General features: G+C 34.3%; 1 protein-coding gene across 3 annotated transcripts in view; it reads left to right on the forward strand.

Moving 5' to 3' along the window:
- The window catches only part of AKAP9 (A-kinase anchoring protein 9), a 169,812-nt gene that overhangs the window by 113,325 nt on the left and 29,276 nt on the right, over positions 1–27,211 (forward strand). The window contains exons 1-10 of one of the 3 annotated variants that reach the window (NM_001379277.1): positions 3,392–4,228; positions 7,074–7,236; positions 8,088–8,300; positions 11,045–11,277; positions 12,241–12,360; positions 15,844–16,020; positions 16,719–16,823; positions 22,669–22,821; positions 23,510–23,689; positions 24,893–25,966. In NM_001379277.1, coding sequence (NP_001366206.1) covers positions 3,983–4,228; positions 7,074–7,236; positions 8,088–8,300; positions 11,045–11,277; positions 12,241–12,360; positions 15,844–16,020; positions 16,719–16,823; positions 22,669–22,821; positions 23,510–23,689; positions 24,893–25,966 — 2,664 coding nt within the window. In that variant the 5' untranslated portion in view covers positions 3,392–3,982. Of the gene's footprint in view, positions 1–3,391; positions 4,229–7,073; positions 7,237–8,087; positions 8,301–11,044; positions 11,278–12,240; positions 12,361–15,843; positions 16,021–16,718; positions 16,824–22,668; positions 22,822–23,509; positions 23,690–24,892; positions 25,967–27,211 lie in introns of those variants that run through there. The other 2 variants (NM_005751.5, NM_147185.3) reach the window with 2 other exon arrangements.

Consider the following 27,211-nt stretch of genomic DNA (forward strand, 5'->3'; position numbering starts at 1 on the left):
TCATTGATTAATAACTAAAATTATCTTGAACCTGATGAATATTTTTAACAGATTGACACAGAATAATGTGTAATATCTTTGTGAAATAACTTATATTCCACTTTCCTCTTCAATGTGTCATTATTTGGTTCTACTTTATAATAGTATACTTCCCTTTAACCTTCATTTTTTTTTTCACGTATTATAACAAAATGTAAAACAGCTGGGAGGCATGCTGTAATATCTTTGCGTTTTCAGTGAAAGAGAAATTCAGGAAAATAGCTTTGTACAGGATACTCTGAGACCAGAGAAGAGAGCAACATCTGACATGTTAGAGTGTGGTGGGGACCAAGTAAAGTTTACTTGGGAGTTGATGCTTAAGATGTTTAAGATGAGTTATTCACTGGCAAAATTTTTGAATATCAGGGCACTGGACAAGTATCTGCCTTATAGGCTGATTGGGTGATTTCATAACCTGTATTATAGGAGTTATTTACTTTAGATATTTGATTTGAGGGGTAACTTGCCCAGTGGTATGTCCAAGTCCATATTATAGTACATTTATTACAACGGTTTTACCTCTCTTTTGCTTGGACAGGCTACCATACAATCAGGCCTATATTCACTTTATTGTTAGGTTCCTACTGGTTGGGGTAGCTTTCATGATAGTATGAAAAAGAATGCTTAAGAGACTGTCATAAGGCCCTTAGAGAGGTAATCTCTTTAACACAATCCTTATTCAGTAGTCTCTTTGTGGTTCTGCAGAAATGTTATCTTTGAGAGTGTGGTTTCACAGATTCTAAACTCCTGGATCAGGTAGAAATCAAAACCATTCTCTTCTTTGGGAGTAGTTTTTCAGCAATTAAAGTTTTCCAGAATCCAGAAGTATTATTTAGAGCCATAGGAGGTTATTTACCAAGAGATTCTGCTAGGCCTTGGAATAAATTAATGAATATGTAATTTATTCCCATGGAATTATTTTTACTGTAAGAAATTTTTACGGGCTTCCTAATACTTGTTTTTAAGAATTACAGCATCAAAGCTACATGCTTCTATATTTTCTCAAAAAAAGGAATCTGAGGATGAAGCAGTAGTATAAGTTAAGATTTTGTTTTGTCATTGTTGTGTTTGAAACATAACTGCAATCAAAATACTGAAACACATTTTGCCTTCAAGTATTGTCCCCAGTATGCTTAGCATTGGTCTAGGCTCCGTCAGGGTAATGTTTGCAGGTTATAGGCCCTCTGTGAAATAACTTCAAGAAATAGATGAACAAATCAAAGTCCAAAAGAGAGCAACAAAAGTGTTTTACAGTTTGAAGAAATAATTTATGAAGAAAGGTAGTTAAATGGTTTGACATTATTTGATTTAAGTAAAGCTATTTTGTTTAGGAAACAACTCTATGCTGCAAATTAATAGCCTTCAAATATACATTAAAATCTTGATTATCTGAAACCTGGCGATAATAAGCTAGTCTGGATAATTAAAAGTGTGTTCTTCTAAGTCATTTTATTATAACTATTTTTGATTGCAAGAAGTTTTATGTGCTTTCTAAAATAGAGGGGGAAGCAAGATAGAATATAATTTGAATTATTCTAATTCAGTCACCTTTCTGAACATCAATTAATATATCATCAGTTAATATTACTGTTGTTACAAGGGCTGTATGCCACTATCCTGAATCATCTTTATTTAATACTGCTCTTTTGAGTCTTTTTTGCCCTAATTTTACTTTATTTTCTTTGTGTAAGCTTCTTACCTTGACCTGTGTTCCTAATATAACTACTTACCTACAGATTTTTGTTTTACATGGATGGAAGCAAGTTTTACATGCTTCCAAAAATGGGTGAAACAATAGACAATAATTTCAGTTATTTTAATTCATGGTCATCTTTCTGAACATGAATTAATATTTAATATAATACTCCATCAGTTAATATACTGTTATGAGGGCTGTTTGCCCTATTCTGAATCATCTTTATCTGTTACTTTTTTGAGTCCATTTTTCTCAGTAATTTTTCTCTCTTATCTTTGTAGTTAGTTCTTATCCTGACCGAAATGTTAACTGTTTATAAAGGGTTGTTTCTTACTTACAGATTTTGTTTTTGCTTCAAATAAGAGAAACTAGATATCAGATTATCAAAACAAACTGTAGTTTGCAGAGGGAGCAGGGAAAGAGTGTTTTAAGAGGTATTTGATAGGCTAAGCATGGGTCCCCACAGTTCATAAAGCTGAGCATCTGGGATATTGACAACTTCTATCTGCCAAAGCCCCACTAAAGTCACATTTAGCTGCAGCAGTGATAAGATTAGGCCTCTATCTTGTATAGGTGTTTATTAGGGTTTCTTATGCAACCCTCCAGTTAATCTGTGAACGTGCTTTGTTAAGACACCTTCACAGACTAACTGGAGGGTTGCATAAGAAACCCTAATAAACAAAAAATTTTTATTGCCTAGTCCAGACTTGTAAGAGGCAACTGCCCCTCCACAGCTACAAGCCATCTCCCTGTAGATTCTGGCTTTCTATAGAAAATGTCATTTTCTCTGCCCTAATTATTAGTCTACCTACTGTGAAATGGTTTGAGTACTGGTTTAAACAACTTTATAGTGTGAGTAGCTGTAGAATGGATTTGTGTTGGTATTACCTACCTTCTTTAGCATGGGTTTTTCCATTTAAATAAAGGCTTTGTGGATTTAGGATATTTAGTTACTGGAAAGAATAATACCAAAATGAGGGTTTTTTCCTTTCTTTAAAACAACTTTCATTATTGAAAATCTTTTAATATTAAAAAGTAAGTTGTTTATCTTCTAAAATTCTGAGTGGCTTATTTATTCACTATTGCCCAGGTTTCTGGAGCTACCCAGAAGGCTATTCTATATAACTTGGGCTTTTAAAGTTTAGTCAGGGTTCATAAGATACCTTAAGTGGTATAGTTTTCAACTGTTACATACAGTGTAGCTTTAAAAAGAATTTTTTCCTTAGCATGTACTCTGTAAACAATATGAAAATAGGTTATAACTGAAATGTCTATAGTTTTAGTGGCTGCTTGAAAGATGAGTAATATTTCTAAGGAAATAGCAAAAGTAAGTTTTAATTTTCCAGAAATAACTTTGATTATTTTATATACTTGAATAACTTATTACTAATGTGGACTCAAGCATAATTAATTTCACATTTTTAAATTAAAGCAATTTTTTAATGGAACGGAAAAACACCAGCTTATCTTACAAACATTATAAACTTGTCTAAATGCCCTTTCAAAGCCCTGACGTGGAACTTGGATCCTGTCTGGCAGGCTTTTTTGTGGGCATATTAATTCACATTCCACCTGTCAGTGTACCTATAGGTAAAGACATTAAACCACACCCTCTGTTCTGACCTTTTCCTCAGGGGACACTGACTAGAATCCTTTGGCTCAGCATGAGAGGCTATTTGAATAGCTCAGTTCAGAAGAGCTTTTCCTTTTGAATAGAGTGAAGCAGCAAGAGCAAGAGAAATAATGTTACAACTGCATTTCTCAAGACTGCTGCTATGGAGATTTCAAACTTGACCTTCCCTGCCAGGTTCTGCTTTGAAGGCTTACTTATTACTACAGACATCGCTGATATTAAAAGCAGTTTTATTGCTCGTCTAATTAGATGTTTATATTTTTATTCTTCTCTTCAAGGACTTAATTATGCTAGTTTAAAAGGTGTTTTTGTTTGCTTGCTTTTATTTTTGTTTTTTGATTTTTTTTGGTTTTTGTTTTGGTTTGGGTTTTTTTGAGGGGGCATCAAGATTGATAGAGACCTAAGTTTTTTTAGATTTGTAGTTTTTTTCCTGGACTTTCCCCTTCCTTTTATTGTGCAGTTGTATGAATTAATTTTATAACATTTATTTGATAGTGCTAAAAAAGAAACTTTTTATACTGCTATGGTAGATCTTGATAAACTAAAAAGAACTTTTTAATGTATTAGAAAATTGATAAAGCAAATTAGGAATCTCGGCAGCTGTATCTTCTGGGATGGATTCTTATAGCACCTATTTGGCAACTGTCAAAGTCAGTGGCTCGTGGTTAGAAGAGCAAGATGAAGACATTTATGAGGTTGAATCTCGCGTGCCTTTACCACATCCTTTTCCTCTTTGTGAACATTTGGATGAAAATAACTCAGTAATTGTTAATACTTCTATTTTCCATTTTATTCATAAAAGAAACGGGCATATATTAAAGCTTATTTCTAAAATTTCACTGCCTACCCCTCCTTATTCAGTAAGTATAAAAAATATTCATTTAGTTAAACACTATAATGAGAAATTAAATTTTGAGTGTCTATATTAAGGCTAAATGGGATAGAACCTTGTTTGATGCGTTACTACTCATTCATTCTAGATGTATTTAAGGGCTAAATTTGGTCTGAGTTCCAACTTGGCTATGTTTACAATTACAGAAAGCAGAATGAGATAATATTACATTTCTCCAATGCCAGGCAGTTTGTTTAAAAAGATCCCGCTTTTCCTTAAGATTCTTGCTTTTGTATGTTTATCATGCCAATCCTGAATAAGAATGGAATAATTATTATATTTGAGAGACTCGGTATTATGATACTTATAAGACAGCTAAGTGAATTGTCATTGAGCAATTAGGAAATGTTTACAATCATATGTTATATTGGCTGTTCCAGTCCAGGAAAAAAGGAAGCTTGGGTTCTAATTTTAATATTCTTAACAACCTAAGAAACTTACTTTTTGTTTTTAATATGCCTCGTAATCTTGTGGAACAAGACCCTTTTCTGCTTTTTATATGAAATATATTTTATAAACATTGTTAAGGATAAGTGTTTAGCATAAAGAGGCTTGAATATTTAGTATTTCAGGTTCACTACAGGTTATTCAGTATAACTAAAAGTTATTCAGCGCTTTTTATGACTTTCATAGCTTTATCCTGTACTAGCTAATATTTAACAAGCCAGATGGTTTTCAGAATAGTTTTGTTACCTCTTCTGCAACTTTTATATTAAAGTGACAGAATATTAACTGATACTTTACATGTACTTTTAATGTAATAAGTTTCTTAAATACTTTGGAAATATTGAATATGAAATCTTACATTCTTCATATTGTTATAGATATTAGGAATAAACATACTCTAACTGAATGGAAGAGGATTCTTTAAATATTAAGTATTTAATGAACATTTATTTGAAGGGTGTCTCATCTCCCGATGAAGTGTGGATCTCATCTGCTATAATAAATGACATTTTTTTTTGCTAGATTTACTGTATTTGATTGTTCCAACTTTTTCATTTTATTTTAGAAAACAAGTTTTTCTCTTGTGGTTTTATGATAAATATTTAAATGGATTATAAGGCTGATTAAATCTTGTCAGGAAGTAGAACATAGAAGCAAAGGCTTATTTAATTTACTTACCTAAAGCAAGCATTTATTTTGTTGTAAATTCTTTGTTATATCCTTATAGTAAATTTAAAAAAGACAAAAAAAAGCATATCCTTTTTAGTTACATGTATTTACTAGATAGTCATTATGTAATGAACAGAAAAAAATGACAAACGTGTAAAAACAATTGATATGTTTTTAAAATATGGATTGTGACTGTAAATTCCCATGTAGTTGTATATAAATTAGTTCATACTTTATTGTTATGTTTCTTTGTAATAAAAATTAATGATATTAGTTATCCAGACTTTAAAGGAAAAACTCTTTCCAGTTAAAAGTAAAAATATTCCTTTTGAGATAACAACATATTATCATGGGTATTTTAGGAAATAATTTATAATTTAAAATGTATGATTAATTTTCTATTATGAGTCTTATACGTGTATTCATATTAATTGCAAATAAGTTATAAGTGATATTTGAAATATCCTATTAAAACAAGAATAATTGCATACTGGATATTTTGGAAATTGATTTAGAGTAGCCATCAAAAGCTGTAGTTACTCTAAAATCCATTTGCTATGACAAATACCTCTCAGATGTGAAAAGTGGAAGTCTTTAACAATAAAGTATCCTTTAGTATTATCATGATTTTGTAATACATTTTCAATATGTGACTATAAATTAGAAACCACTACATTTGATCATATTTTAAGCTTAAAATGCACTAATATCTTTTTAATGCACAAAGTACTTTATATGTAAATTTACAAATTCTTATGACTTTACTGTGAGCCTGTTATTAATATATGTGATGATTTCTTCTTACAATTTTTGGACTAAATACTAGAAACATTTGAGTTCAATTTTTTCCCATGTAATTGTTTCAGTAATAACAGATAAGCAGGTGCTGATAGTCAAAAGCTCAGAAAACTAAGGCAGAGACAGTACTTTTCTGCAATTTCACACAGCTCATTTAGTAGCAGTGATCAAGAGAGCTTTGGCTTTAAGCCTTCTATCATCTTAAAAAATTGTTTAAGAATGTAGTCAGTATGTGCTATTGGTAATATTTTAAGGAATCTGTGTTTATGGTTAATGTCTCTGTATTCTACGGTTTTGAAAATAAGCTGAATATTCATAGGAGCTTTAGGTGTTTCACAAATGGACAGAAATATAAAGCTTTTAGTTAAGTACATGGATTATAAATATAATTTCATTTTGTTGTGCTACTATCATTTTGTTAATTGATGCCATTGTATTAATCATGTATTATTGGTCCCCCACAGTATACAGCAGATACTGTAGGAGTCACAATCCGTAAATACTAAATGTAGAAGAAAGTTTATCATAGACTGTATAGTTACATAAAATTCTTTGGCAAATACAATAAACGCCTGTGCTTCATTAACTTTATATCTTCTTTTATATGATAAAGTACACAGCCATTGATTTAAAGTGGTTTGTATCCAAAAGAAGCATATTCTTTTGTTCAGTAAAGCTAGAATACATCACTTTACAGAAAGTCGTGCACAGCCAATATACATGTCTCCTCTGATTTCTCCTACCTGCTAATCTTAGCATACACTGGCAATATCTAAATGACTACAATTCAGTAGTATATCTTTATTTTAAAATCCTCCTTTTTTCCAGCTTTAATAGGGAATGAAACTAGTATTTCCACACTTTATTTTCTTTTATGTATTGTTTCCCTCTTTGTTTAGCTTGAACATGCGAAAGTGACACAGACAGAGTTGATGCGTGAGTCATTTAGACAGAAACAAGAAGCAACAGAGTCCCTTAAGTGCCAAGAGGAACTTCGAGAGCGCCTTCATGAGGAGTCCAGGGCCAGAGAACAGCTAGCTGTGGAGCTCAGTAAGGCTGAGGGTGAGCAATTTGCCATTGACAACTAAGGGTAGAGAAATTTCAGTCTTAAAATAGAGATTTTTGATGCACAGCCAGGTTTGGAAGCCGTCAATCCAATTTAGAATGACCATTAAAAAGTACTTGTGGTTTATCTTCAGAGTTCCTCCAAGCAATTTTTAAAACTATATATATATATATATATATATATATATATATATAAAATTATAAAAAGAATTTATAGAGTTACAGAAAATAATAATTTCAGAAAATACCAAAAAGGATAGTGGTGACTCGTTACTGTAATCACACCATCTTAAGACAACCCTTGTAATTTAAAGATGAGCAAACTGAAGCGAAAAGATGTTATTAAATTGTTAAAGGGCACAAATACCATTACATAGTGATTCCAGGCTTTGAATCTCTAAAGCCCTATGCTCTTTTTAATTCTCCTCTGCTGTTATGGGTGTTGGCCTTCTAAAATTACTTAAAATACCAACCTTCTAATTTTCAAAATGTGATTCAGTTCACAAGCATCTAATTTGTATTAAGCTTTTCAGAAACTTACTGTTTATATCTGTTTAATAAAGTGACTTACACCTACATAATGTGGTACTTTGGTATAGCAAAGTATTAGAAAATTCAGAGAAATTTCATGTTTATGCACAATGGTAAACAAGGAAATGTCTGCATTGACCATACCCTATTAAAGGTTGATAGTTGCTGTGATGAGCAGCAAATTCATTCAAGACTTTTAATAGGTTGGAATGATGGAAAGTTTTGCTAACAGTATACCTTTTGTTGTTTATATTAAAACCTAGTGGTTGAATTTGAAATGAATAATAGTTCTATTTTCTGTTAATTTTGTATTATAGGCGTCATTGATGGCTATGCAGATGAAAAAACTCTTTTTGAAAGGCAAATTCAGGAAAAAACTGATATAATAGATCGTCTTGAGCAGGAGTTGTTATGTGCAAGTAACAGGTTGCAAGAATTGGAGGCAGAGCAACAGCAGATCCAAGAAGAAAGAGAATTACTGTCCAGACAAAAGGAAGCTATGAAAGCAGAGGCAGGCCCAGTTGAACAACGTAAGTATTTTCAGAATTTGTATGAAACAGTCCTCTGATTTTATTTGTATTCTTCAAAGGCTTAAGGTGGCTTTTTTCCTCTTTCAGTGCCATTATTCATATATTTTATAGAGAGATTTAAAAAATTATAAGAAAATCTACCTTAGAGATAAATGTCTTATTAGCCAATCATGTGGAATCAGGTTTTTTTTTTCTTTTTCCTTAGGCAGATGTTAACAGGAAAAGATAGTTCTTCATTTATCCTCAAACTTCTGCTTCAAGAGAAAGCTGCAAATAATGAGGCAGGATATTTTAAAAATTGTGTAAGGTTTAGTTCTAATAGCAGAGAGGCAGCAAAAATGTATACTTGGATTAAATATCTAAAAGCACTGATCTGGCACTAGTAATGAGCAGGTGGAGGGGTTTTTTGACTTGCAAGCAGAGTAGATTTAAAAAGGTCAGTGGCTGGTAGGCTGACATCTAGTTTAATGTAGTAGGAATTCAAATAATACTTAAATGTTTAAGTAACCTTTCATTTTTCCTTAAATAAGATATTAAGTAATATCTTGAAGTGAAAGTTTGTTTAGCAGTAAATGTCAGTCTTGGTAATGATGGAACTTTAATCCTGTTTACCATGTCCTCTCACTTTTATATTACACGTGCAGTTGGATTTTTAAATGTGCCGTTTCACTGATTTCATTTTATCGGTTTAGAAATACAGCATACATTTTTGTAATATAGTGAAGTTTCTTCCAGCTGCTCAAATTAATTAAACAGGTTTAGTTTGGGATTTTTAATATGGAAAGTATATGTCATATATGCAAAATATTCAAGAAATACTGGAACTTCTCAAAATGTTACCAGTGATAATCAGTGTCTTCAACTCTTGTTTTTGATACGTGTGTGTGCATGTGCATTATCCCATTTTAGGAAGTAGAAGACATATAAATTATACTTTTGTTGTGTCTTTTTTTTTTTTTTTCTCTATTTTCCTAGGACTAGTAGATGCTGCAGTCGATGCAGCACCAGGAGCAGGTGTGTGTATACCATTGCATGGCCAATGTTTGGGTGGTAGACTTTAAACTCCAAAATGTGGGTGACCTGGATTTTCAGCCAACTAACATCTCTAGTTTTGCAGTGTTGCTGTTGTTCCATACTTACAGTTTTTCTCTTTAACAACAACAAATAAACTTTTCTTACAATAAAAGTACAAATTTTCATTTGAAATTAACATCTGAGATTCATACTGACCATCATCTTATGATGTCTATTTTTGCATAGAGCTTAAAACCATTTTGATTTTTGTTTGTTTGTTTGTCTGTGTTTGTTTTTTGAGATGGAGTCTTGCTCAATCACCCAGGCTAGAGTGCAGTGGTCTGATCTCGGCTCACTGCAACCTCCGCCTCCTGGGTTCAAGCGATTCTTCCACCTCAGCCTCCTGAGTAACTGAGACTACAGGCGGGAGCCACCATGCCTGGCTAATTTTTTGTACTTTTAGTAGAGATGGGGTTTCACCATGTTGGCCAGGCTGGTCTCAATCTCCTGGCCTCAGGTGATCCGCCCACCTCTGCCTCCCAAAGTGCTGGGATTACAGGCATAAGCCACCATACCCAGCCATTTTGAGTTTTTTAAGAAACCATTTAACAAATGTATTAAACTCTTTCAATCTATGAGTTTTTAAAATGCTCCTTCTAAATCAGGAAGTATGTAAGATGATGGTAGCAAAAGGATCAGTGAAATTTAATAAGAGGCTCTCTGGTTGATTTATTTTTATGTTAACATCTAATGTTGTTTTAAAAGGAAAGCTGTTTTCTAGAGATTCCTAGTCCTGAGTACAATGTTGGCATACTAGTTAAAGACCCTAGGGATATGTTCTTTCCATTTTCTTCATTAGAAGATTGTTTTATTTTTACTATATACACTTTGTTATATTAATAATATTAATAGCTAACACATAGTGCTTACCATACCTCAGACACTCTTCTTTACATGTATTAACTCATTTAATGCCAAAATAACTCTAAGAGATCAGTAATAATATTATTCTCAGTTTACATATAAGGAAACTAAAGGACATCATCATAACTGTCACATGGGAGATAAGTGGCTGAGCTAGGTTGGGCCTACGGTCTGTTCTTAAGCACTACACCACACTACCTCTCATACATGTCAGTTTTCCCTTGATTCACATACATGTGACCATGCAAAAGCAACTCAGGAATATGGATCTAATAAGGAGTAAGACTAACAGGAAATTTCAATTATAGCTGTATTTATATTTCTGTAACTCTTAGACTTGCCTTGGTTAAAGATTTACAGTGTTTGATCTTCATGTTTATTGTGTATGCAAATAAAATTGACTTTATGGGTTTGGAATGAATTGCTTTTTGCCTGAGGTGAAGAAAACGGTGAGTTTTTTTCTGTGCTTGAATTTAATTGGACTTTGTTCTTTGCCCAGTAGTAAAAATAGATTTTTTTTTTTTGGTCATTTGCTATGTTGTTTTCACAAAAATATTATTTTCAGTGACAGGACATATTTTTTGTTAATAATTCTGTATAATTTTATTAATAATTGCTTGTTTACTTATATAGAAATATTTTAATATAATTTTGATACTTTCATAAGAGAATATTTACTTTCATGTGTATTTAAAATAATTCTCAGCCTTTCATGAACGTAAAATTTGGACATAGTTATCAGGGATTTCATTATCATAAGATCATTAATTGTGATTTAATTCAGTATATTTTGTATTAATAAACAGAATTACTACAGGAGACAGAAAAATTAATGAAGGAAAAACTAGAAGTACAATGTCAAGCTGAAAAAGTACGTGATGACCTTCAAAAACAAGTGAAAGCTCTAGAAATAGATGTGGAAGAACAAGTCAGTAGGTTTATAGAGCTGGAACAAGAAAAAAATACTGAACTAATGGATTTAAGACAGCAAAACCAAGCATTGGAAAAGCAGTTAGAAAAAATGAGAAAATTTTTAGATGTAAGTATTCTCAAGTTGAATACTGATTTTTCTCAGTGGAATGTTCTTTGCTAGTATACTAGGCTATGAATTTTAAATTATGAAAAGACTGTTGAGTTAGTTTTTCAGTGTTTTATTAGGTGTCGAATCTACTAATCGATCAAAAAGTACTATTCCAATTTAAGATTCCAATAATTTTTATTGTGCAGCACTCAGAATTAAAATCAGTACATTTTATTATGTATTGAATTATACATGATAAAAATTATGAATAAGCCCCACTAGTTTTCCAAATTCAGATCAGGAGCTTATTCTAGTTTTTTATTTAACCACAGACTAAGATAGGCAAAGAGATAATGGGCCACCACTGCTTCACCTGTAAAAGATACACATAGAACAGTGTGGCCATTGGAAATGGGCCCGGAACAGTGGTCATGCTGCCATTACTCTCTTCCAAAAAGATGTTAAATCTCTAATTTCACATTTTTTTTTCCTTTGAGATTTCACTTAAGCCTGATACTCTCTTCATAGATCAGAGAATCAGATTCTTACTCATTTTATAACTTTAGACATAAAACCTAGATTAGGATTCAAGAAACTGATTTACCAAACAATTTGTTTTATGGATTTTGTTTAATGGCTAAACTAACATGGAATTCCTCCTTTGTTCCAGAAAAGTAAATTCATTTTAAGGTGAATATTTTTTCATCCTGTATTTAATATTACTTGAATAAAAAAAGAAATGTACTTGAAATAATATTTTAATATTAATACTTGAATTTTTGTTGAGGAGGCCAAATAGGCTATATGGCATATAAAAAATAAAATGTTATCTTTTAAAACTTTTGTGATTTGGGATGTTCCATGATCATCAGTCCTTTGTCTTCAAACAAAACTAACATATCTCTAAAGGAGAAGTAAGAAATAATAGCTTCTCTAAATACTGTTTCTTCAGCTACTATCATTATTGTCATTAAACTTTAGGAGCAAGCCATTGACAGAGAACATGAGAGAGATGTATTCCAACAGGAAATACAGAAACTAGAACAGCAACTTAAGGTTGTTCCTCGATTCCAGCCTATCAGTGAACATCAAACTAGAGAGGTAAGAACTTCACTGATATTGCCCAACTTACAGTAATTTGTATCAAGTGTAAAATAAGATGCATATCATTAAAAACTTAAAAGTGGATTCTTTCCTTTGTATGTAAATCTTCAAAATCAGAAAACTTAATATTACTTAAGCATGAGAAGGTAATTAACCCTGAAAATTGTTGGTATTGAAATTTGGAATCATTTCCATCTGCATATGTCTTCTAGTATTTCTCAATTAAATAAACTCTGTTTATTTCTTTATTCCCATTCCTAACAAAAGTGATCAAGAGAGTTATCTGTGTTCACTGTTTACTTTCCCATTTCCTTTTCTCTTACTAGTCCACTCCAGTGAAGTATCCAGCCCTTGTTTCTCAGTAGGGTTATACCTTCTACTCCATTTAAATTGTTCTTGTGAAGGTGACCCAGAGCCTCATGGCTATGGCTAATATCCAACTCTGTCTCCATCCTCCTCAACCATTCAGAGGCATTTATTGCAGCCTTCTCCCAGAAATACTTCCTTCTCTTGTTTCTGTGACACAGCTACTCCACTGGTCTCTCTCCTCTAGTCTTTGTTTCTCCTTTTCCTACCCAGCATAAATGATGGAGTGCCCCAAAACTTACTCTTGGGCCCCTTTTTATTTCCTATTTATAGCCTCTTCCCAGGCAGTCATATATAAATGCCTCCACATTTGTATTTCTATCTGTGACATTTCTGTTAAGTTCCAGCATTGGATATCCAGTGCCTACTCTGTCTCTGCTTAGATGTCTCAAAATTAACATGTCCAAAAGAAAGGTCTTGATTCCTGATTAGCCACTACCAGAGAAAGACAAGCATAAAACATTTTTCTTCTTCATCTCAGTAAATTCTGTACCTTCTAACCTGCCCCATTGCTGAGAACTAGAATCAGCCTTGATTCTCCTTTCTCTCAACCCCTGATTCCAACCCACTGATGGGTCAGACTGCACTACATCTTTCTGTTATTTGCACTTTTATTCATCTTCCTAAATCCCACTTGTCACTTGTTTGCCTGGATCACTGTGGTAGCCTCTTAACCAGTCTCCCTGCTTCTCCTTTTTCACCCCAACTGCCCATTTTCCTCATAGAAACATAGTCAAAACTCCACATTTACCAAATGAATGCTACATAAATGAGAGAGGATTCACTGTATGAATACCTAAAGATGGCTTGTCATGGTGATAAAGACATTGTGCTTAGGGTAAGGCAATCCCAGTTTGTATCATGGCTCTGCCATTTACTAGGTTATGACAATAACTAAGTCAGTTAACCTCTCAAATCTCTGTTAATTCATTTCTAAAATAGAGATTGTAATAGCACCCACATCATAGGAGTGTTGACCTGGCACATAGTGAACACTTTAACTAGTATTATTTCTGAAACAATTTTTATTTCGAATGTAATTTCTAAACAGTTCAGTGGATTTCATTTCTCTTAAAAGAAAGCCGAAGAAGTACAGAGTGCCAATAAACTCCTTATAATAAAATGTTGTATACTAGAGTAGTACAAAAGTTATCAGTCTCCAGGGCTGGGCGTGATGGCTCAAGCCTGTAATCCCAGCACTTTGGGAGGCCGAGGTGGGCAGATCACGAGGTCAGGAGATCGTGACCATCCTGGCTAACACAGTGAAACCCCATCTCTACTAAAAATACAAAAAAAAAAAATTAGCCAGGCGTGGTGGCGGGCACCTGTAGTCCTAGCTACTCGGGAGGCTGAGACAGGAGAATGGCATGAATTCAGGAGGCAGAGCTTGCAGTGAGCTGAGATCACGCCACTGCACTCCAGCCTTGGGGACAGAGCAAGACTCCGTCTCAAAAAAAAAAAAAAAAAAAAAAGAAAAAAGTTATCCACAGTTTCTAGTTATTGCCCCATTTCTGACAAACATATTTTTGGCTTTTAAAAAGTAGTCGTTTGTTGTACTTCAAAGAATATTTAAGCTCTAGAACCTAGGCTGTCATCTCCTATTATGTAGTTTTCTTTTATTTGAAAAGGTTGGCCTGCTTTGCTCATGAAACTTTAAGAAACTAACAAAGATGTGCATGTTTGATTTTTTTTTTCTACTGTTGCACCATTTTATTGTACCTACATTGTTGCCTTTTTTCTTAACCTTACTCCAAATCTTAGTCAACTTATTATTATTAAAGTTTCTCCTCAGCAGCTTTTTTTTTCCTTTTTTTTCTTTTTCCCTTTAAAACTGACTGCACATATCAGTGACTTTATTGCTATCATCCTTGAACCTGAAATTATAGTTAAGCTTGCATTCTTTTAATGTTCTGAGAAATAACTGTCATTTTTTAGATAATTTCCTCAGAATATTTCACTGAAAAGAAAAGGTAGAATTACTTTATTTCTTACCATCACATGTCGCTTTTTTTAAAGTAAGCTTTCCTTCCTCACTTTCCATACAGTACAACTAATCCTTCCTGTCACAGAACCATTCACTTGAAGGGATCTCCATATCATTCTTAGGGAATAGGTCTTGGCATGCATCATTATTTTGGTTAAAGGAGAAACCAAGACTAGAGACATTTAGGGAAACCTTCAAGGTGCACAGATCCCTCTCACACCCCTTCATCCTTAGCTCTTTCCTGGGCTGATGGAATGTATAGATTGAAAAAGCTTTCCCAATGACTGTTTTCAAAATATAGTCCATAAAAGATTTATTTAGGTCATTTTATCTCATACAAGAGTAAATCAGTACCTGCAAATTTGTCATCTTCATTAGGATTTAGTGTGGTTGTGCCATTAGATAATTCAGCCTTATGAAAAATCCATTTTTTCCCCTCTTCCTAGGTGGAGAAAGTCTTAGTCTTAAGAGAAAGATTTTTTAAAGGATTACGTGAAAGCAATATTACTTGTGGTCTACTAGTGTTGCTTAATTTTTTCAACTTGTAAAATGTCACCTTTGTTGGAGACAACAGTTGCTATCTTTATACAAAGTTAAATTAGCATAACATTTAAAAATACTTTTTAGAAAAAAATTTTTGAAATGAAGATATGTTTTATATGCATTGAGTATTCTTTAAAATGCTTGAGAGAAGTGTTTCAGATTTCAGATATTTTGAATTTTGTAATATTTGCATTATACTTACCTATTCAGCATCCTAATTTGAAATGTGAAATGCTCCAATGAGCATTTCCTTTGAGCATGATGTCAGTGCTTAAAAAGTTTCAGATTTTGACCTGGGCTTGTTGGTGTGCATCTGTAGTCCCAGCTACTCAGGAGGCTGATGCAGGAGAATTGCTTGAGCCCAGGAGTTTGAGGCTGTAGTGCATGACGATCGTGCCTGTAAATAGCCACTGCATTCCAGCCTGGGTAACATAATGAGACTCCATTTCTTAAACAGACAAACAAAAACGTTTCAGATTTTGGAGCATTTTGGATTGTAGATATCCAAAATGAGGGATAACTCAACCTATACTAACTAGCTTGCTGAAATTTTTTTTAAATTAAATTTTTTGCCTCTTATATTTCAGGTTGAACAGTTAGCAAATCATCTGAAAGAAAAAACAGACAAATGCAGTGAGCTTTTGCTCTCTAAAGAGCAGCTTCAAAGGGATATACAAGAAAGGAATGAAGAAATAGAGAAACTGGAGTTCAGAGTAAGAGAACTGGAGCAGGCGCTTCTTGTGAGTGCAGATACTTTTCAAAAGGTGTGGCATTTTATTTGGGCTAACTTAATAAGTGTTTTAATGAAGAATACTCTTAAATTGTCAACTTCTTGTAGGTATTATTACATATTATGTTTATATCTCTGTTGACATTGTAACCATTTCTGTTTGTTCTTATTTCCAAATGTTGCTTGCATGTCTTAGTCCTGAGAAGGGAAGAGTTTTTTGTTGTTGTTGTTGTTTTGTTTTGTTTTGTTTTGTTTTGTTTTGTTTTGTTTTGTTTTTTGGAGACATAGTTTCGCTCTTCTTGCCCAGGCTGGAGTGCAATGGTGCGACCTCAGCTTACCACAACCTCCACCTCCCGAGTTCAAGCGATTCTTCTGCCTCAGCCTCCCAAGTAGCTGGGATTATAGGCATGCGCCACCACAACCAGCTGATTTTTGTATTTTTAGTAGAAACGGGGTTTCTGCATGTTGATCAGACTGGTCTCAAAATCCCAACCTCAGGTGATCCACCTACCTCAGCCTCCCAAAGTGCTGGGATTACAGGCGTGAGCCATCATGCCCGGCCAACTTTTTTATTATTCACTAATTAGAAGTAGACTTTCTACTTCTAATTGGAGAAACAGGATTGCTGCTTCTCAAAAAAAAAAAAAAAAAAAGCAGACCAAAAAACAAAAAAAAACTGGATAATCAGGATTTAATTTATCAAATTTTGAGAAAATTTTTATATATTTAAAGGTAGAGGACCGAAAACACTTTGGAGCTGTAGAAGCTAAACCAGAATTGTCCCTAGAAGTACAATTGCAGGCTGAACGAGATGCCATAGACAGAAAGGAAAAAGAGGTAAGGAGTTTATTTTTAAATGACACAGCGTGGTTTGAATTATTTTAAATCAGTTACCTTGAAAATATTATTTGAACTGAATGTAGTTTATGATCTAAAACCAAAGTTGAGGCTGTTTCTCAGCTCAATGCCAAAATTGACCTTGAAGGCAGTAAACATATGAGTAATTAAGCTGACGGGAAAGAAGAGTGCTCCAGATAGAGAGAAGAGCCAGTGTAAAGGCCTTGAAGCAGGACGAAGTTCGGAGGAACAGGAAGAAGGCCAGTTTAGCAGGAGTGTAGAGGGTGGAGAGATATAGTAGTGTTAGGACAAAAGGCAATATATCCCTTTTCTCCTAACCGTAGAATACATATTGAATTATTGCTGCTTTGCTGTGTGGTTTTTTTTTTTTTTATTGTATTGCCCTGGGAGATTATAGTCCTGTTTTACAATATACAGAATATGTTCTTAAAACAAAAAGATTAATAGTAAATTGCTTTAATAGTAAAGCAATTAAGCAATTATATAAAGTTCTCCTTTGTTTCTCTGCCCCTTCTTCCAAAAAACTAAAAATCTACTTTCAGAACAATGGTCACCTCAACTTCCTAATTTATAACTTATTTAAGCCTTTGTCTACTAATAGTTTTTAAAAAACATATCCTACTCTATCTACATTGTCTAGCTATATCTTATCATTTAAAATGTTTAAAATTTTTAAAATTACATTTTTGTCTCTAATATTCTGAGAAGACTTACTATATTTTAACAAATAGTTATGAACTTAAGCTGCTTTGAAAAATATAAGAATGATTTAGATATCAGCTAAAACTATAGTTCAGAAAACCTGTAGATTAGAGGAGAAAAAAGGCATCTATGTAAGTGACTGTAGTTGAAATCATTTCCATGAGAAGGATTATTTTCTCACTATCACATAATACTGAGTAATGTTTACCTGAGAGGCTCTTATTTATTTTGACTTTTGATTTTTTTTATTGGAGGTGGGGAGCATTTTTGTTTATATGTAACTATTTCTGTGTTTCAAAGAGCTAACATTTAAAGATTTCCCTTAAACTGAGTAAAGTAATTTATATGTTGCCTAAAAAGACAGACCTTCTCAACTGGACCCAAAGCAATGATAGTTGACTGTGGATAATTGATTAACCTTACTGATTTTATATTTTTATTATCTTCTGAATATAATATAGCACTGCTATCTTGAATTAAGTATCTAATAACTGTCTACCTTTTACTCAGAATCATAGTTGTTCAAAACTATGAGAAACTTTAGAGGGCATCTGTCAACTGACTGATGTTTTTTATAGATAAGGAGAGAAACGGTAAATGAGTAAGAGGTTAAACTGACAGCTGACCCTAATAACAGTAACAAGTACTTTATCAAAACCCATTCACCTACCATAACTGGAGACTGAGAGGCAGGAACATAGAATTAAAATGTATTTTATTGAAAATAACTTCTTAAGCATTTTTTCCCCAGAAACTAGGCAAATGCTTTCAGATATCTGATGGAGTATAAATATAAGATGTCCCTATGTATCATGGTATTTGAGATACTTTTCTCTCAGAGCCTAAATTTGTATAAAACATTTTTTAAGCTTATTAGAAATTTAGAAATGCAGGATGAATAAAAAGAGAACTCTAAAAGAAAGGAGTTTTAGAATTATAGGAGGAGGTAGAAAATGGGGAAAGGAATAGAAGGATTTTAGAAAAAGATACGTTCCATAGGTTTTAGCTCTCTGTAGAGCTAATGAGATCTAGCTTAGAGTTAGCAATAATAAATAATAATAGTTTTGTTGAGGCCTATCTAATTAGACAGTACTAAGTATTTAAATGCCCTTTTACCGTTAACACTTTCTTCCCGAGGACAGACTCTGTTATCCCCATTTTACAGATGTGTAAACTGAGCCTTAAGGGAAGTTAAATAACTTGATCATGGTCACACCTTAAGTGGTTGAAAAGGAGTTCCTCTCAGATTTCTGTGAGTCTGAAGCCCTTGTGATACTATACTGCCAAAGCATTGGGGCCCATTTTGTCTTGTTGGTGAGAAGTGTTAAAGACTGCCATTCAACATTTAGTGAGCTCTTAATGCACCTGTAGCACCAGTACCCAAATGTAAAACTAGCGGTGGACGTCAAGGAATCTACTGTGTAATTAAGGAGACATATGTACATTTGAAAGAGATAAAAACACTTTTTAAAAAAGGAAACAGGCCAGGCGTGGTGACTCACGCCTGTAATCCCAACACTTTGGGAGGCCGAGGTGGGTGGATTACTAGGTCAGGAGAGCGAGACCATCCTGGCTAACATGGTGAAACCCCATCTCTACTAAAAATACAAAAAAAAAAAAAAAATTAGCCGGGTGTGGTGGCGGGCGCCTGTAGTCCCAGCTACTCGGGAGGCTGAGGCAGGAGAATGCTGTGAACCCGGGAGGCAGAGCTTGCAGTGAGCCAAGATCACGCCACTGCACTCTAGCGTGGGCAACAGAGTGAGACTCCATCTCAAAAAAAAAAGAAAACAAAAATAGATGCAAATTAATCCAAACATTAATTTCAATTATTAGATAAATTAAACAAGATTAAAACAAATATTTACCAGCCTTTGTTTTTAAATCTTAATAATGTTCTTCTGGTTGTAGGTGGTTACAGGCTCAATAAGAAGAGAGCCTAGTACTAAACTAGAGCCTGACTGAATAAGAGGAAAGAATGTCCCATAGTGTCATTTGGGGGAATTGAAGTGTCTGATATGATGCCTGAACTTCAGCTACTTAGAATAGGAAAGTTAGTGCTTTAGACCAGTGCATTTCAAACTTTAATGCACATGCAAATCACCCAGGGATCTTGTTAAAACACAAGTCTTACACAAAAATTAACTCAAGATGGATTAAAGACTAAGACCTAAAACCATAAAAACCCTAGAAGAAAACCTAGGCAATACCATTCAGGACATAGGCATGGGCAAGGACTTCATGTCTAAAACACCAAAAGCAATGGCAACAAAAGCCAAAATTGACAAATGGCATCTAATTAAATGAAAGAGCTTCTGCACAGCAAAAGAAACTATCATCAGAATGAGCAGGCAACCTACAGAATGGGAGAAAATTTTTGCAATCTATCCATCTGACAAAGGGCTAATATCCAGAATCTACAAAGAACTTAAACAAATTTACAAGAAAAAACAACCCCATCAAAAAGTGGGCAAAGGATACGAACAGACACTTCTCAAAAGAAGACATTTATATGGCCAAAAAACATACGAAGAAAAGCTCATCATCACTGGTCATCAGAGAAGTGCAAACCAAAACCACAATGAGATACCATCTCATGCCAGTTAGAAAGGTAATCATTAAAGAGGAAACAACAGATGCTGGAGAGGATGTGGAGAAATAGGAACACCTTTACACTGTTGATGGGAGTGTAAATTAGTTCAACCATTATGGAAGACAGTGTGGCGATTCCTCAAGGATCTAGAACCAGAAATACCTTTTGACCCAGCAATCCCATTACTGGGTATATACCCAAAGGATTATAAATCATTCTACTATAAAGATACATGCACACATAGGTTTATTGCAGCACTATTCACAATAGCAAAGACTTGGAACCAACCCAAATGTCCATTAATGATAAACTGGATAAAGAAAATGTGGCACATATACACCATGGAATACTATGAAGCCACAAAAAAGGATGAGTTCATGTCCTTTGCAGGGACACGGATGAAGCTGGAAACCATCATTCTCAGCAAACTATCACAAGGATAGAAAACCAAACACCACATGTTCTCACTCATAAGTGGAAGCTGAACAATGAGAACACATGGACACAGGGAGGGAAACATCACAAACCAGGGCCTTTTAGGGGGTGAGGGGTACAGGAGGGATAGCATTGGGAGAAACACCTAATGTAGATGACGGATTGATGGGTGCAGCAAACTACAATGGCACGTGTGTACCTGTGTAATAAACCTATGCATTCTGCACATGTATCCCAGAAAAGTATAATTTTTTAAAAAAGATTAAAAAGGAATATATAATAGAGTTCATTTCCTATCTGATTACTGTAAAACAATAAAATGAGTCAAAAATTAAAAAAAAAATAAAACACAAGTGTGGGGTGTGACATGGCATTTTGCACACCCAGCATGCTCCCACATGATGCCAACTCTACTGCTCTCGAGACCACACTGAATAGCAAGGCTTCATGTCACAAAGTTAAGAAATTGATCATAAACTGTTGTATAAAAAAAGGAAATTTCGTATGAGATAGGGCAGCAATTTGAACTTAAATAACTATTTATGTGTTGATTTTAAAATAATACCTTGTCATCAAAGTAGTTACAGAAATGTAGGGATAGTTGTAAATACTATGTTAAATCACTTTGAAGAAGATATAATCATTGCAGTTTTCAGCAACCTGGTAATTATTTATGTTCAGTCATTAAATGTATTTCAGTGTCTACTGAGTTTAATAACCAGTGTTACAGAAAAAATTTTAAGTGTAAGTCTTAGACATTAGTTATTAGAAGCAGGATAAGTGATAGTTTAGAGTGGAAGATTCAGAGATAAACTCCTCAGGTTCAAAAGCTGGCTTCTCCACATACTCGCCATGTGGCCTGAAAGCAAATTACTCCTCTCTGTGACGTCCATCCTCATCTCTAAAATGGGGATACTCAGAACAGATCTTATAAAGTTGTAACAGGGTTTTAAGAAATAATACATATAAAGCACTTTGTGCAGTGCTTAGCGGTAAACTGTTACAAGTGATGGCTGTTACTACTAGTATTGATACTGTTTAGGAAATACTAAGCTAACTGGTTTTTAAGGATTTGCCAGTGTTCAGATATGGTTCTCAGTATGTGATGTGTTAGTGTGTAATCAGCGATTCCCTCTTTCAGTTTCTAAGGCAGTAAATGATTCATAAGCTGCTTTCTGAGCCACTTGTCACTAAGTGTTGCTGAGGATAGGCTCTGTTGCCTTAGATAACAGAGATGCTCCTGCATCTTAGTTTGCTTTTTGATCAGCAGTTTTGATCATGAGGTAAATACACATTTGGAAATCATTCATTCACTTTGTATTAAGTAGCAACAAACCAGTGAGCTAAATGAATGTTACTGTCCTCAGTCAAAACCAATTTTCAAATATAAAAATAATTCTTAATATTCATCATTCGTTTCAGTCTCTAACCATCAAAAAGCAGTTGCTTTACCATTATTCATAATCCATCCTCAAAATGATTAAATAAATTTCTGTTGTCCTACCTATAGGAGCTCTCTAATTTTCTCCTGAATTGTATAATTCACTTACTCTAAGGTTTTTGTAATTCAGACCTAAGGATCTCTTGGTCTTAGTTTCTATCTTGGCTTCCTTCTGCTTAACAAACCACATGGCAGCCAGGCCTTTTAGTAAGTTAATTAGATATTTTTGGACTAAATTGAGTTAGTCTTATATGGTGGCTAACAAAACAAACAGTTCTACAACTTTTCTAGGCCTTTTGATAGCAACTTAATGTAACATAAACTAAGATTTAATATGTGGACTCTTTCCCTTCCTCCTATGACTCTTTTCTGCTTCAGGAGAAGAGACTAAGGTAGGAAATGGCTCCTTTTATCCTTCCTCAGGAGGTTTCCTCTCTGCTTTGTGTAGGATAGTTTAAGGATGGCCAGTTTGAGCATGTCTAGGAACCACACAGGTAACACAGATTATACCTGGCTTAGAAAAACCACATTCCTTTATTCTTATGACTCATGTTTTAAGCATGCATACTTTGTAAAGCTAATATAGCACTCTTCATTTTATCTTGATAAACGTTTGTATAAACATTTTTTCTCTTTTGATAATTTTGTTATTAAAGATTACAAACTTAGAAGAGCAATTAGAACAGTTTAGAGAAGAACTGGAAAATAAGAATGAAGAAGTTCAACAATTACATATGCAATTAGAAATACAGAAAAAGGAATCTACTACCCGCCTACAAGAACTTGAACAGGAAAACAAATTATTTAAGGTAATTAGTTAAGAAAAACTTTTATCTGTAAATAAGTCATAGTTTCAGTCCTATATTGCTTTATTATTATTATTATTATTATTTCTTTCTTTTTTTTTTTTTTTTTGAGACTTAGTCTCACTCTGTTGCCCAGGCTGGAGTGCAATGGTGTGATCTCGGCTCATTGCAAGCTCCGCCTCCCTGGTTCAAGCAATTCTGCCTCAGCCTCCCGAGTAGCTGGGACTATAGGCACGTACCACCACGCCTGGCTAATTTTTGTATTTTTAGTAGAGATGGGGTTTCACCGTGTTAGCCAGGATGCTCTCGATCTCCTGACCTCGTGATCCGCCTGTCTTGGCCTCCCAAAGTGCTGGGATTACAGGCGTGAGCCACCACACCTGGCCCCTATATTGCTTTATTAAGCATTCGATAAATCCAGCTGTTAAATAATACTCAACAGAGGAACATTAACAGGCAGACACATTTGCATACAGCTTATTTTCAGCCCAACCTGAACATTTGAATTCATCATAAATGAAAATTTTGGGATCATTTATCAAAATATTTTAGAATTATTGATTTACAGTAACCATATGGTGTCTCTGATTTTATTCATTTGTACGTTATAGGCTCTGATTTCTTTTGTAATTATGTTCTGAAAATGATAGGTAATGATATATCCAACTGTGATAATTATTTTTGTTCCTAGGATGACATGGAGAAACTGGGACTTGCCATAAAGGAATCTGATGCCATGTCTACTCAAGACCAACATGTGCTATTTGGGAAATTTGCTCAAATAATACAGGAAAAAGAGGTAGAAATTGACCAATTAAATGAACAAGTTACGAAACTCCAGCAGCAACTTAAAATTACAACAGATAACAAGGTATACTCATTTAAAATTGATTATGAAATTAATATGAACCAGAGTTTTAAAGGGCAAAATGGTTATAATGTTGCTCCCCATTGAATTTAAAAAACAAACCAATTTTATTTTATTTTATTTTATTTTATTTATTTTTTTTGAGACAGAATCTCGCTCTGTCGCCCAGGCTGGAGTCCAATGGTGCAACCTCGGCTCACTGCAACCTCCACCTCCTAGGTTCAAGTGATTCTCCTGCCTCAGCCTCCCGAGTAGCTGGGATTACAGGCACCCACCATCACACCTGGCTAATTTTTTGTATTTTTAATAGAGATGGGGTTTCACCATGTTGACCAGGCTGGTCTCTATCTCCTGATGTCAGGTGATCCACCCACCTCAGCCTCCCAAAGTGCTGGTATTACTGGCATGAGCCACCACGCCTGGCCCAATTCTCTTTTATTAATTTTAATTTATTAAGACACATTGGTGGCCAGGCACAGAGGCTCACACCTGTAATCCTTATACTTTAGGAAGCCTAGGTGGGCGGATTGCTTGGGCCCAGGAGTTCAAGACCAGCCTGGGCAACATGGTGAAACTTTGTCTCTACAAAAAATATAAAAATTAACTGGACATGGTGGCATACCACCTGTAGTCCCAGCTGCAGTGAGCCTCATCATGCCACTGCACTCCAGCTTGGGTGACAGAGTGAGACCCTGTCTCAAAAAGAAAAAAAAAAAAAAGCAAAGACACATTGGTTTAATAATTTATATGTATTTTTCTCCCCTCCTAATATTGTCATAGGATTCTAATGTTTTTCAGAAAGGCTCTGTGACTTAGATTTTATCATGTTATTCTAACCAAATCTATTATAAATTATAATATTTAATATGAGTTAAGTAAGGTAATTACCTTTGGTGCCATCGGTTGTAGACTTTATTTCCGTACTTCATCCTTTTCCATTAAGAAGTATTGATATTGACTATTTTCCTAATAGGGAATCAGCAACTAAAAGCTTATATTACTTTATACTTAACAGAACTTTCTGAGCCTTGTTTGATATGATGGGGGAGATATTGGTCTATAATGAAATTAAGTAGTATGTCTGAGAAGTAGTGTATTATTTTTGTGTGTGATCATCTCTTTGAGGTACTGCCCTAAAATAAAGTAAAATTTTCAAAATGTAAATACATATATATTATGTATGTTACCTTTTTCATTAATTATTAGGTTATTGAAGAAAAAAATGAACTGATAAGGGATCTTGAAACCCAAATAGAATGTTTGATGAGTGATCAAGAATGTGTGAAGAGAAATAGAGAAGAAGAAATAGAGCAGCTCAATGAAGTGATTGAAAAACTTCAACAGGAATTGGCAAATATTGGACAGAAGACATCAATGAATGCTCATTCCCTCTCAGAAGAAGCAGACAGTTTAAAACATCAATTGGATGTGGTTATAGCTGAAAAGCTGGCCTTGGAACAGCAAGTAGAAACCGCTAATGAAGAAATGACCTTCATGAAAAATGTACTTAAAGAAACCAATTTTAAAATGAATCAGCTAACACAGGAATTATTCAGCTTAAAGAGAGAACGTGAAAGTGTGGAAAAGATTCAAAGCATACCAGAGAATAGTGTTAACGTGGCTATAGATCATCTGAGCAAAGACAAACCTGAACTAGAAGTAGTCCTTACAGAGGATGCTCTTAAATCCCTAGAAAATCAGACATACTTCAAATCTTTTGAAGAAAATGGCAAAGGTTCCATAATTAATTTGGAAACAAGGTTGCTACAACTTGAGAGCACTGTTAGTGCAAAGGACTTAGAACTTACCCAGTGTTATAAACAAATAAAAGACATGCAAGAACAAGGCCAGTTTGAAACAGAAATGCTTCAAAAGAAGATTGTAAACCTACAGAAAATAGTTGAAGAAAAAGTGGCTGCTGCTCTTGTCAGTCAAATCCAACTTGAGGCAGTTCAGGAATATGCAAAATTCTGTCAAGATAATCAAACAATTTCATCAGAACCTGAAAGAACAAATATTCAGAATTTAAATCAACTAAGAGAAGATGAGTTGGGGTCAGATATATCAGCATTAACCTTGAGAATATCAGAATTAGAAAGCCAGGTTGTTGAAATGCATACTAGTTTGATTTTAGAAAAAGAACAAGTAGAAATTGCAGAAAAAAATGTTTTAGAAAAAGAAAAGAAGCTGCTAGAACTACAGAAGCTATTGGAGGGCAATGAGAAAAAACAGAGAGAGAAAGAAAAGAAAAGAAGCCCTCAAGATGTTGAAGTTCTCAAGGTTAGTTTTGTATTTTATTAGTTTCATTTAAATACCCCAAGAAACTAAGCTGATTGCTAATTTACTAAATATGGTGTTCTGTTTACATCTAACAATTTATACAAGAAGGTTTTTATAAAAATATACCACTTATAAAAAATAAACTCTTGTTAAAAGAAAAACTAGGACAGGCGCGGTGGCCCACGCCTGTAATCCCAGCACTTTGGGAGGCCGAGGCGGGTGGATCTTGAGGTCAGGAGATCGAGACCATCCTGTCTAACACGGTGAAACCCCGTCTCTACTAAAAATACAAAAAATTATCCGGGCGTGGTGGTGGGTGCCTGTAGTCCCAGCTACTCGGGAGGCTGAGGCAGGAGAATGCTGTGAACCCGGGAGGCAGAGCTTGCAGTGAGCCAAGATCGCGCCACTGCACACTCCAACCTGGGTGACAGAGCGAGACTCCATCTCAAAAAAAAAAAAGAAGAAGAAAAACTAGACAAACTAAATTTACGAGAGTTTATTTGAACAAAAAAGGATTCACGTATTGGGTAGCATTCAGAACCAGAGGAGTTTCACAAATCTCTTTTGTGCAACAGTGGCCAGTGAATATTTATAGACAGAACTACCAAATAAAATACAGAAATAGCTTGATTAGTTACAGTTAGGTGTTTGCCTTATTTGGACCCAGTCTGCTCAGTTGACTGCTTGTCATTAGCTAAGAGTTGGCTGTTTATTATACTCCTAAGATACGTTTTCAGTTTGCTTACGTACTCCTAAGTTAGATTGTAGTTCCTTACATAGGAACTCAAGATACAGAGACAGCCTCAGGCCAAATTTAACTTAACACTGTGTAGTCATATTATTATCACTAAAATAATGGATACAGACTGTATTTTATGGTCTTTAAATATGATATTTATTTCATTAACATCATCATTAAATGGAGCAGTCAGAAGAAACTAAGAAACATTAATTTTAGCAAATGTTCTCTAGGATTTATGGGGATTTTTTTCTTAATTTGCTTCTAATATGCATGTTATGTTATCATTCCTTTTAAGTAATAATAAGTATGAAAATATGTTAGGATTGACAAAGAATGCAGACTTTACAGAAAGAAATCTATTATTTAATAGCATCTACTGAATTAATTAATGTGTGGGTGACATATTTTACAATTTTTTTTTTTTCTTGAGACAGAGTCTCGCTCTGTCGCCCAGGCTGGAGTTCAGTGGTGTGATCTCAGCTCACTGCAGCCTCCACCTCCTG

The sequence above is a fragment of the Homo sapiens genome, chromosome 7 (assembly GCF_000001405.40).
Source record: "Homo sapiens chromosome 7, GRCh38.p14 Primary Assembly".
Lineage (NCBI taxonomy): Eukaryota > Metazoa > Chordata > Mammalia > Primates > Hominidae > Homo > Homo sapiens.